The sequence below is a fragment of the Homo sapiens genome, chromosome 6 (assembly GCF_000001405.40).
Source record: "Homo sapiens chromosome 6, GRCh38.p14 Primary Assembly".
Taxonomy (NCBI): Eukaryota; Metazoa; Chordata; class Mammalia; order Primates; family Hominidae; genus Homo; species Homo sapiens.
Window position 1 is genome coordinate 108,895,443 of NC_000006.12, and position 12,607 is coordinate 108,908,049.

General features: G+C 38.7%; 2 protein-coding genes and 1 pseudogene across 20 annotated transcripts in view, besides 1 other annotated feature; 2 read left to right on the forward strand and 1 right to left on the reverse strand.

Annotated features, from left to right (window-relative positions):
- The window catches only part of ARMC2 (armadillo repeat containing 2), a 204,619-nt gene that overhangs the window by 47,021 nt on the left and 144,991 nt on the right, over positions 1-12,607 (forward strand). For all 19 annotated transcript variants that reach the window (XR_007059340.1, XR_007059341.1, XR_942600.1 and 16 more), the window contains 2 exons: positions 4,252-4,350; positions 8,788-8,963. Coding sequence is in view for 15 of the 19 variants with exons in the window: in XM_047419396.1 (XP_047275352.1) it covers positions 4,252-4,350; positions 8,788-8,963 (275 nt within the window). In the remaining 4 variants the exon portion in view is untranslated. The remainder of the gene's footprint in view (positions 1-4,251; positions 4,351-8,787; positions 8,964-12,607) is intronic.
- Positions 1,544-2,743: an enhancer, noted in NCBI's record as "MED14-independent group 3 enhancer chr6:109218189-109219388 (GRCh37/hg19 assembly coordinates)". NCBI's record gives its function as "activates an origin of replication core promoter dependent on BRD2, BRD4, P300/CBP and CDK7 cofactors, and independent of MED14, by STARR-seq in HCT116 cells {active_cell/tissue: HCT116}" and the evidence as "EXISTENCE:reporter gene assay evidence [ECO:0000049][PMID:35650434]".
- On the forward strand, positions 12,035-12,454 carry ATP5MFP2 (ATP synthase membrane subunit f pseudogene 2; annotated as a pseudogene).
- LOC124901481 (ATP synthase subunit f, mitochondrial-like) lies at positions 12,167-12,584 on the reverse strand. The gene is made up of 2 exons (XM_047419651.1): positions 12,570-12,584; positions 12,167-12,484 (listed from the first exon to the last, which is right to left on the reverse strand). Exons 1-2 carry the CDS (start codon positions 12,582-12,584, stop codon positions 12,167-12,169), a joined length of 333 nt encoding a protein of 110 aa, XP_047275607.1.

The following is a 12,607-nucleotide window of genomic DNA, read 5'->3' on the forward strand; positions in this document are numbered from 1 at the left end:
CGCTGCACTCCAGCCTGGGCGACAGAGCGAGACTCATCTCAAAAAAAAAAAAAAAAAAAGATAATTGCTCACTTAAATGAAACTATATTAACTTTATTAAGACCGTCCTTTGGGCCTTTAAAGTGTTTGAGAAAATATATAACAATATAAACCACAGTCTAGAAATGATACAAAATGTATTCATGCAATAGAATATAGTTGTCACAAAAGTGAACTCATGGGCTTTTGTAATATTGTAATATTGAGTAAATTCAGTACAAACATAATATGAGATGAAACAAGTTGCAAAAGCAAAGACATATATTGTTTATGGATACACAGCCATGTGGTAAGCATGCGAAGTCAAGTGTAGTCATAGTAACCAGTGGATTTAGGATGGTGGTAACCCCTAGAGGGAGAGGAGGAGGGGAATGGATGCAGGGAGCCACATATCTGTAATGTTTCATTTCTTTAAAATAAGGGAAAGGATAAAAATATGGCAAAATGTTAATATCTGACCAAACTAGTGTGGGGTACACTGATGTCTGTTATATTCTTCATATATTTTTGTACCCATGAGATTTTACAATACTAAATAGTAGATTTTAAAAATTCTTATCTTCAAAATTTAGTTTTTTATCAATAAAATGACTTCTGTGTCATTGGGAATTTCTTTACTCAGGAAAATCTTAGATATACTAATTTCTGAGCCAGCATAGTTGCTAAGGATTTTACATTTACGTGCTAAAAACATCAGCCAATCCAAACATTGTGTCAGGTTTTTGTGTCCAGAACTCAAAGCTGTGGTTAACAACTATAACCACTGAGACAGCAAAATCTTCAAAAACATGCTGAAATTTTTGCTTGACTTACCCAATTTCCTGTTGAATCATAATGTTTATATTTAGCAAACTGTGAACCTAGATGAAAGTGCTTTCTAAAATATTAGATTGTTGCCCAAGATTGAAACAACCTTATTATTATTTGTGTGTTTGTGTGTATCTTAAAAAGCAATTATATGATTCCATGCTTCATTTTCTAGAGTAACTCAGGGATTGTGTATAAAATGGAGGCAGGAGGAGGCCCAGCGTGAATGAAGAGGTGGAAAGGCTGTAGCCAGACACAACTGTGCCCTTTGAAATTCCTGGGAGAGGGTTGGAAGGAAACCCTCATACCAGTGACTGAGTAACTTTGGTTCTGAGAAGAAGCAAATCTCAGAAACATTCAGAAGGGCCCGTAAGGGTTAAATAAATTGTTCTGTGATTTCTGATTCACCCCTATAATTCAGCTCTTTCTGGGGTGAATAAGTTATCCATTTTATTTGTCCTGAAAAACAGGTTGATAGTCATGGTTTCTCATAGAAGTTCTCTATTAAGCAGCATATTGCATAGGAGGTAAAAAATGCAGACTTGAACTTATTGGACTCAAAGTCTGGTTTCTAGTAAATTTAAGTGTGTTATAAATATGTATCAATTAAATAACTCGCCTGACTTATTTTCTGGCTTTCACTTACCTTGATAATGTTGATTTTATTTTATTTTTTATATACTTTGGACTTTGAATAGGTTAGTTATCCACAAATATGAGCAAGTATGTTTTTTGTATTACTTGAATATTCATGTTTACTTTTAGAATCCATATCCATAAATTATCAAAGTTAAGGCAGATTCATAAAAACAATGACCCAAAAGATTGAGATGGTAGTCTACAAACTATCTGTAGTTCCAGAATCCCTGAGCCTGATGGGAAGTCAGTTAGAGTCTTGGTTTTGTGAATATTCATATATTTTGCTACAGGGTGCTGCCGCAGAAGACCCTACAGGGGTGGTACGTAATATGCAATGTGTATACCATATTGACTTTCTAAAATCCATATGTTCCTGCATCCCACACCACATCTGATTCCAAAGGTTTTGGATAAGGGATTGTGAATCTGTACTGATGTGGACTAATTTGTCCTAAAGACAATTCAATTTAGTATCTGATGGTGAAGTCTTGCATTGGGTTAGATAGATTATCTGAAACCTTGCTATTAAGGCTATTTACTGCACTGCAAATGTTTAATAATAGCTTTGTTGACAACCTCTATTTACTTTTGCTGCTTAGGTGATCTTGGATGCCCTGTGTGGCTCAGCTGCTCTTGGCAGTGGGAAGGGTTGATAAAAGGCAAGCCTGGACTTGCTGCAACTGGGAGTGGCCATTTCTAGCATGTAGTATAATGGGAAGGCCTGTGTGTTGGGTGGGATAGGTAGATTGCACAGCGTCCCTGCTTCTCCTGGGTGACATCAGCACCATTTGATGGTTTGAGGATTCATGTCAGAATTCAAATACATCTCTGAATTCAAATGAATTCTTAAATATATGCCATTATGTGTTATCTATGGATTTCTCTGCTATTTTCACAGATAATCATCAAGGGACTTTATTGGATTTCTTGATGCAGAGAATTTTATTTTAATCCATATTAATATTAAAAAATATTAATATGGATATTTACTAAGGTATTACACACATTCAATATGTGTTGTATATATTTTTCTCTTCAAGAATAATAAGAATGCATTAGAGGCATTGGAAAATACAGAAGAGCGCATAAAAGAAATTAATAATCCTAATCCCAATATTTAGAGATAACCATTGTTACCCCATTTTACAGAAGAGAGGTAAAGCAATTTGCCCATAGTCAACGAGCTAGTAGGTGGCAGAGCTAGGATTCAAACCCAGATGGTGACTCCAAACCTGTGCTATTGATAGGCCCCCTGCTCAACTTGTCCTTTGTGCAAAGTAACCTGAAAATACATGGGCCATATACCCGTTTGCTCCTCTGTCTGTCTCTGTCTCTCTGTCTTTCTCTGTCTCTTCTCTCTCTCTCTCTTCCAACCTCTCACCTTCCGATCCTTCCTGATTTCTAACTCTTTGTGTGACATTTTTAGGGTCCAGGCATCTTCTGTGTGGACACTTAATTGGTACCAGGTCCACCCTGCCCCGAGAGGGCATGGACTCCCTGACTTGATGTAGACCAAGTGCCGGATAAAGGACTTAAGGGGTGGTCTTCAGAGAAGAGAGACTGAGGAATACATCTCAGGACTATTCAGTAATGCCTCAGCACAGCAAAGCCACCTCTAGCTACAGTCAGTGTTTTAGATCTTGAGATACTGCCTGTGTGAAATATAATCATAATTTGCAGTTTCTAATATGAGTTACATTTCCCCCCAGTGTTACCCTTTAGTCGGCTAGTTTGCTGCAAGTCAGCATAGCTTTGAGGTCAAATGCAGAGGCTGGGGAGTTATATGACCCCAGGCAGATAACTTAATACACCTGGGCTCCACTTTCTTCACTTGCAAAATGGAGACAGTTTGGGAACCTCCTCATAGTGTTACTGCAAAAATGAAATGGAGGCCTCCTGCATCTAGAGTACACAGTCAATGGTTGCTATTCCCTACAACCCATATTCACAGGCAGCATCTACTCTTGATGGCTTGGTAGTATCACACAGGCATGAGATACTGCAGGGGTGATAACATGTTTGTATACTTGTTTAATCAGGGAAATGAAATTAATTATATACTGTATATTGCTAAAGGCTTGGCACTGAGCTCAGAGCTTTACCTATACCATGTCTTTTAATTCTTATACCCTTGAAGGCAAATATTCTGTTTTGCTGATGAGGAAACAGAGACTCAGGAAGGATAAGAAACTGGACCCCATCACTCACCATGTCCATAGTGGAGTTGGGATTTGAATTGAGATTTGTCAGCCCCGAAGGCCCAGGCTTTTCTGCTACACCACACAAAATCACTTGGCATTAATGCTACTGGCCCCATGTTAGTGTAGACATTTTATTTCTATAGAAAATGTCCATTTTAGGTCTCCCTTTTAGAAAATTTTTCATTACACATTTTTAAAATCCTTATTCTTTATATATCTATAGTTACCTATTCTACATTACAGAGGGATAAGTTTAAGTAAAAATGTACTCAAAACTGTTTGCCTTACTGACAGTCATCAGTATTTACAAAGCTTACTACTTTATGAAGTGACCAGATCACATTTTAAAGTTCTGATTTTTTACATTATCCAGTCTGAGTTTAATTTGGGGTAATTTGATTAGAAGACCTGTAGTTCTAATGAGAAATAGTCAGGCTTGGAGAGCAAAGGGTAATTTAATTCTCTAGTTTATTAATTGTAGTGATGAATAGTAAAGGCTTTTGACCATGCTTCATGACAACTCCTTTTTCATAGCTTTTTCTCCTGCTCTGGATTTCTTTTGCAGTCCCAAAAGCTGACCTGCAAGAAGAGGACGCAGAAATAGAAGTAGACGAAGTCTTTTGGAATACAAGGATTGTACCGATTTTGCGTGAATTAGAAAAGGGTAAAACACAAACAAACAAACAAAAAACCGTTTTTGTTTTTTTTTTAAAAAATACCTGTAGTTATTTATGTGTTCCCCATTGCCCTGATATTTTTAGTAAGTTTTCACTATCATTTCTGTGAACATGTTCAAAAACAAATGAAGTCATCTATTTATTTACCCTGTGTGTGTTAAATATTACATGCACACATAATTTTTAGTAAGATTATGCTTTAAATGCACCAAGAGAGCCAATTTCTAAAACTTCCCTTTGTAATATAAATTAATTAGCATTTCCTCTGTCCAAGGAAATGCTGGTTTAACCTCTCTCAGGTGGCTCTTCATACTCAAGAAAGTAAAAGATTAAAACAGATTTCAGGCTTGGAAGCTGAGTCTCATAAACTGGCGTCCTTGACAGGTGTGCCCGTGGTTTCCTTGGTCCAACTGGTATCTGTCCTACTCTCTTGAAGGGAGCACATCCGTCAGGAATGCCACCCACAGCATGGGAAATGGCCTGGGATGTGTCCCACCCTTGCGCTCTGAACTGCCCCAGAAGTGAAGGCCCACCATCGATGGGTCCCTGCAAGGGTAGGGAAAGCGTGTCATGGGATGGCCCTCCACTTTCTCCCTCTTTGCAGCTAGCTCCTCAAGGATTCTCTTTCTGAAGTTAACCAGGCTCCTCTGGAGCAGTGGTCATAGCCCTAGGGAGAGCCCAGGGCCTGGCACACAGTGCACAGTAAGCCTTTGCTAGGAGTTGTTGATGAGCAAACCAGCTTGGTAGCCACAGGAAGATGCTCTAAGAGAAGCAGGGTAAATGAACCCTCCCCAGCAACCAAACAGAGATGTGCTGCAAAAGACCTGATTACTGAAAGGTTCAAATGACCTCACCCCTCCTCTGCTCCCCATTGGTGCTTGGCTGTGTTCATGGTTAATGTGGGAGCCCTGGACGGGGTTCTGGTCCCGGTGCTGCTACTCGCCAAGCGTATGGCCATGAGGAGTCACCTAGACTCTGTGTGCAATAGTGTTCTCACCTGCCAGATGAGGTGGAGATTAGGTTATCTCCAAAGGCTTCTGCAGCCCAAAGTCCTAAGGATATGAATGTGATGACTTTTTCCCCTCTAGAGTTACTATGTTCACCCTCATCTTAGCGTGCCACGTTAGCTTTGGGCCCTTTATTTCAGGAGATATGTGCAAACACTAGTGAGAAGAACAATGAGTCTGGATAAGGGTTACACAAGAAAATATATTGCACAACATTGAATGGGGACACTGAGTCAGTATTGTGAAGGCCTTTCTTGTAGGAAGCCTTCCTACAGGAAAGAAGGAATTTTTTTTTTTTTTTTTTTTTTTTTTTTTTTTTTTTTGAGACAGTCGCTCTGTCACTCAGGCTGGAGTGCAGTGGCGCAATCTCGGCTCACTGCAACCTCTGCCTCCCAGGTTCAAGCTATTCTCCTGCCTCAGCCTCTTGAGTAGCTGGGACTATAGGCACCCGCCACCATGCCTGGCTAATTTTTTTGTATTTTTAGTAGAGACAGGGGTTTCACCATATTGGCCAGGCTGGTCTCAAACTCCTGACCTTATGATCCACCTGCCTTGGCCTCCCAAAGTGCTGGGATTACAGGCATGAGCCACCGCACCTGGCCTAATTTTTTTTTTTCTTTTGAGACAGAGTCTTGCTCTGTTGCCCAGGCTGGAGTGCAGTGGCACGATCTCAGCTCACTGCAACCTCCATCTCCTGGGTTCAAGCAATTCTTGTGCCTCTGCTTCCTCAGTGGCTGGGATGACAGGTGCGCACCACCACACCCTGCTAATTTTTTGTATTTTTTGTAGAGATGGGATTTTGCTATGTTGGCCAGGCTGGTCTCAAACTTGTGGCCTCAAGTGATCCACCTGCCTCGGCCTTCCAAAGTTTTGGGATTACAGGTGTGAGCCACTGAGCCGGCTGGCATGTATTTCTTAGAAACAAAAACATTCTCTTATATATCTGGAAATTACCATACAATACTATAAAAATCTTACTCAAATTTTGCCAATTTGTCCCAATAATTTCCTTTGTAGAAAAAATAAAAGCCTGGATCACAAGTTCTCATCATTTGTCACGTCTCTTTCGTGATCTTGATGTATTTGAGGAATATTTTACAGACTGTCCCGCAAATTGGGTTTGTCTGATGTTTTCCCGTGATGAGCTCCAGGTTAGCATCTTGGGCAGGCAGAGCACATGAGTGCTGCTGTGTCCCTCTCAGCACCTCCTGCCAGGAGTACACGATGCTGATGCATTCTGTTGCTGGTCGTGTCCCACAGCTGTACCCACTGTCAGGTTTTTATTCTTTCCTTTGTAATGAATACATATCTTGGGGATAGAAGTTACTCTGAGATTATGTTACTCTCTGTTACAATCAAACTTTTACCCACTAGATTTAGCCCCTTGCAAATCTTGATAGTTTGTAGATTCAAGTTGTCTTTTGAAGCTATAGAGCATTTATAACAAACTATTTGGTATAAAGGATTGATTTGATCAATAGTTTAAAATTTGACCCTTGAGCCTTTCTTTCTAACCCCTTTTTAAAGCTAAAAACAAGTATTCTTGAGTAGAACCTACCAGGCTGAAGAGTTTGTGGAAGGAAGTCTTAGAAAATACTTTGAGGACCACCCACTGCCAATGAGTGGCCCAGAGCCTGGACTTAGGGTTTGTAAAGAAACTGCCAGTCACAGAAGAATAAAACAACAAAACACAAGTGTTTCATACAATAGGAGTTCAGGTTTTTCCCTTTATTTAAAGTTAGGCTAAGTCATTTCCCATCAATTCATTCATTTAAGTGCATAACCAAAAGACATTGAAGGTTACTTAGCTATTGAGGTTTAAAATTTTTTCTTAGATGTTATTGTTGAAAAGAGCTAAAAATGGCCTGAGTCACTTCCTTCTGCAGGCACACACTTCCTCTATGTGGGCTTCTAAGAGCACATTATGGTATTTATTTAAGATTGGTTTCCTACTTTTAAATTTCATGAAGGAATCTATCAGAGATAATATTATTTGACAGAATACATTAGATTATTTTATTTCCCCTCATGTTCCATTTTTTTGTGCTATTTTTCTTCTTTGTATGACAATTAGTGTGGCTGCCACTTCCAAAAATTACATTCCCAGGACTTTGGGAGGCTGAGGCAAGCAGATCACTTGAGATTAGGAGTTTGAGACCAGCCTGGGCAAAATGGCAAAACCCCATCTCTACCAAAAATAAAAAAATTAGCCAGGTGTGGTGACAAGCGTCTGGAGTCCTAGCTACTCAGGAGGCTGAGGCAGGAGGATTGCTTGAGCCTGAGAGGTGGAGGTTGCAGTGAGCCAAGAATGTACCACTACACTCCGGTCTGGGTGACAGAGTGAGACTCCATCTCAAAAAAATATAGGTATTACTTTCCTCACAAACATAATTATAAGATGAAAGGTTCAAGATCTCCCTGTTTCCTAACTAAAATACTCTCCTTTTTTTAAATTTATTTTTTATTTTATTTTATTTTGGAAGTAGGATCTTGCTATATTGCCCAGGCTGGCCTTGATCCTGGCATCAAGCAACCCTCCCACCTCGGCCTCCCAAAGTGCTGGATTTACAAAAATATTTTTATTCTCCTGTTTTTTAATAACCACCTCCAGATAATGGTGGATTTTGTGACATTTCAGGCTTTTGTTCTATTAGAACCCTCTTTTCTTAGGTAATGAGCATTGTTCTCATAGGAAAATACTGATCATTGTTTTTGTCAACAGATATATTAGAAAATGAATATGTGTGAAGTTATGCTATATACAGTATTCTATACAATATTCTCACTGTACCATGTGCTATTGATAGAAAGAAATGTAAGACTGGCTCACTTAGTATGACATCTATTTGAGGGCACTGGTCATATAACACAACACACACATACGTACATGAAAAATAAGTAACCTAAGGTAATGTTTGTTGAATGTGGAATAGTGCATCTTTTCTGAAGCAGCTACAACATAAACAGAGCCTCGAAGGACCAAAAACAGTAGGAATGAGGGTTATGGAGAACATTTTAGGCCAGTAGAGCTATGCAAAAAAGAGTTGAAGGTCAAGATGCAAGTGGCATGCATCTGTGAGACTGAGCAGATCACGGGCTGAGGTGGAGGGCATCTGGAGTAAAGGAGGCCAACTGAAGCAGGTAGCAGTCCCATTCTTCAATACCTCTTTGAAAGACTGTGTATTCTAGATAAGCTAATGACTGATAAGCAATAAGTCAACATGGTAGGAGATGGATCAAAGGGATGAAAAAAATCAGGTAGATGGAAGTGATAAGATAAGAAAAAAATAGAGGTCAGGAATTTGAAGATATCCAAGGAAATAATTATGGGGTTTTTACTTACACTGTCTGTGTTTGACACACTTGGAAACTTAACCTTAATTAGTAAGTGTTGCTTTACTCTCTTTGCTCTGACAGAAGAAAACATTGAAACGGTTTGTGCTGCTTGCACACAACTTCATCATGCTTTAGAGGAAGGAAACATGCTTGGAAATAAATTTAAGGGAAGAAGTATTCTCCTGAAGACCCTGTGTAAACTAGTTGATGTTGGTTCAGACTCGCTCAGCCTTAAACTTGCAAAAATAATTCTAGCAGTAAGTTTTTCTTTCCTCTGGTCTAGTAGACTATATCACATAAAAGCTTTGTTTAATGCTTTATTTTTAAATATTACAAAGAATATTAGAAATGCAGTGTATTTGTTTAGAATCTTGGAAAAAAATTAAGGTAATAAACTGACATCTCAGAATTTGACTAGGAAATATTATCTAAGGAACTAAGGCTGAGTACATAGAAAATGTTAAAAGAAACTCAACGTTTTTGGACTGCAACTAAGTTAAAAAAAAAAAAAAGAAGAAGAAGAAGGAAGGAAGGAAAGGCAAGAAAGAAAAAGAAATAACCGTAGGCAAATACATTCAAAATGGTTGCTCAAATAACTTGACTGGAGATCAGTAGCAGATGGTGCAGGCAGTGGTTTCTCTTGGATGCTTGATTCTGTCATATGATTTAATAAATAACTAAGTAATTTAGGCCACAGTCATAATAAATCAGGTGCTTTAGGAACCAGTGTGAAACCGAAATACAGCTGCGTGTGGTCACAGGAAGGTACCTCAGTGGTCATAGAAGGCTTTCACAAGGTGTGAGAAGAAAAGGCCAGACACCAAAAAAAAAGTCTGTAGAAACTCTGTCTCAAACAAAATGATATCACTGTTTGAGGGGAGCACTTTGTTGTCACAGCCATAAACAGTTGGAACCAAAAGATAAGCCACAATTATTATAGAATGTTCTAAGAGAGCCGCTAAAACAAATGAATGAAGCTTTGTTTTCTTGGTTTCATACAAGTACAAGCTTTGTGCTAACACCCCATAATTTACAGAATTTAAAATCTTACAGTACACAGTGAAGGTAAGTGTTGGCGTACTTACTGTTAGTTAATAAGAATGCCACCTTTTCTTATTCTGATAATGAAGTCTTTCATAAAGCAGAATTTTCTGAGCATATATCTATGTAATATCAGGGGGAGGCTACATTCTTATTCAGCTCTCAAACTATTAACTCTCTTTTTAAAAATTGTGATATGTGGTCAAGAAAGCAATACTTCTTTGAAATAGTGATATCACTCCAGGGCTCTGGCGGTGCAGCAGCTGCCCAAAGATTGCCTTTGCTATTTTAATCTGAATCCTAGACATTTTGTTCCATACCAAGCCAAAGAAAGAGAGAAAGAGTGAGGAAAAAAAAAAAAAGAAAGAAAGAGCAAGAAGGAAAGGAAGGAGGAAGGAAGGAACATGAATTATTTTAATGCTTTGCAGAGTAAATATTATTTCGGTTATTAATGGTGTCATTCAAATTAATTATATATATGACACAAATTTAACTATTTTAGGGCAAAAGGCTAAGTGATCTGCCAGGCAGTGAACATGTTTTGAACTAAACATATGATTAGATAAAGCCCTCTTGGTGACATTGACGGCCTTGCTGAATCAGGAGCAAGATGCTAGGCTAAACTCCAGAGTGCAGAGCTGGGTAGGTTTGCCTTCTGACTAGCTACAGAACCAGCAGTTCAGAAGGGACCTTCAAATCCATCAAGGCCAACTTCCCATCTACTGCCTGGATCTCCTGTAACATTCCAGACAAGATCTTGTTTAGCTTAGGCCTTGGTGATGCGGTTCTATGTAAAATGTTAAAAGACTACATCATAAGAACTGTTGAAGAAGAAAAAATCAGCAAAAACTAAAGCTATATGGGACTAAGAAGTTTTTTACAACTTCTCTCTGCCTGTTTATTGGCAAATACTGGCAAATGAAAGTTTTCCAGACAGTCATCTTAATTTTAATCTTTGTGTCAGAAACTCTTACAAAATAATATACAAAAATATATAAGCTTAAATGTTACTATATTAAGATTTTTTAAAGGAGTACAAACAAATATATACAGTATGAATGTGACTATATTTAGGAGGGAAAAAATCTAGCGCCCTATGTACAGGGTAAAAAAAGAAAAGAAATACCAATTACCAACTGTGATGCTATATAGTGGTACTAGTATGAGTGATTTTAAACTTTTCTTACTTTTCTTTAATTTGCCAAATTTACTTTAAATAGAATAAACTACTGTTTTTAACATAAGAAGAAAACTACCCTACCACAAGAACCTACTTTGTGCCAACATTTTTTTTTTTTCTTTTTCTTAAAGACAAGATCTCGCTCTTGTCACCCAGGGCTGGAGTACAGTGGCGAGATCACAGCTCACTGCAGTATCAAATTCTGGGCTCAAGTGATCCTTCTGCCTCAGCCTCCCGAGGAGCTTAGGACCACAGGCATGCACCACCACACCTGGCTAATTTTTAAAAAATGTTTTATAGAATTGGGGTCTCGCTATGATGCCCAGGCTGGTCTCAGACTCCTAGCCTTGAGCAGTTCTCCCACTTTGGCCTCCCAAAGTGCTGGGATTACAGGTGTGAGCCACTGCACCTGGCCAGAGACTCCTCTTGACACTGGGAATACAAGTGAATAAACTAGCTCCTTCCTCTGGGGTTGCCACAGTAGCAGGGCAGACAGACAGCAAACACAGCAGGTACCAAAGGAGATAATGAGAACTAAGGGAGAAAAATAAAGCAGAGCAAAGGAAAGGGAGAGTAACAGGGAATTTTTAAAATAAGATCGTCTACATCCCTTGCATAAATGTAAGATTTTATTATCTTTTTATGTCTTAAAGTCATAATTTTACGGTTAACAATGGAGAAGCGGTACAAATTTGCACTGACTGTAAATTGACATTATAGCAGGCCTGGAAATTGTAGTTGTCTTTTTTCTTTTCTTTGTTTTCATTTTTGTTTTTTCTTCTTATTGTTTTAATGAAAACTCTGATACAAGGTTTTGTTTTGTTTTGTTTTCCTTTGCCACTTTTTACTAAAAATGTAAGATTTGTTGGGGAAAAGGAAAGTGAGTTGTATTCATTTTTTTCATGAAGTTTTATTAAGTATGGAACACATCCTACATACTACATATAGAAAGAGTAATAAATTGTGGTTTTGACCTCAAGGACTCACAATCTAGTAGAAGGTAGTCAACCAATTCAAATATATTTCCAGATATTAGGAATAATATATATTTCCATCAATATAGAAATGTTCTTCTGTTTTCTTTCTTTCTTTTTTTTTTTTTTTTTTTACCAGTCATCTTTTATTTGGAGGTTAATTGCCATTAGGATATGAAAGAATTCAGCAACGATCGAGATTGTGTTCCTCACAGAGGGGCTCGGGCCAAGGTCGTGGGGTGGGGGGGTGCAGAGCGTGTCCTCTTCAGTGGTATTTGCGGAGCCACTCGTGCTTGAGATGCTTGTAGGAAAAGGAGTAGCTGAAGAGCACGTAGCATGCCAGCACCATGGTAACCCCCGAGATGCTCCCCTTCTTCACATTGATGTACTTGTAGTACCAGTAGTAACCTCTTTGAAACGCTCCGAAAATGCCACTAGGGCTGAAGTCCCCCATCAAGATCCAGCTTGGCAGCTCCCCCAGTTTGACCTCCAGAAGTTTCTTGTCCTTCACTGGTACAACTGACGCTATCTTAGAGTCCTGGTGTCCGCTGTGTTCTTCTGTTTTCTTAAGCCCGCTTATTTTCTGGGGGTTTTAAACAATATTATTTTAAATACCTAATCATTAAACATTTATTAAGGTTCCCATTTCCTATTTTCCTCCTGGGAACAGAAGGAATCTCCATTCTGCCATGTGTTACAGTTTCTG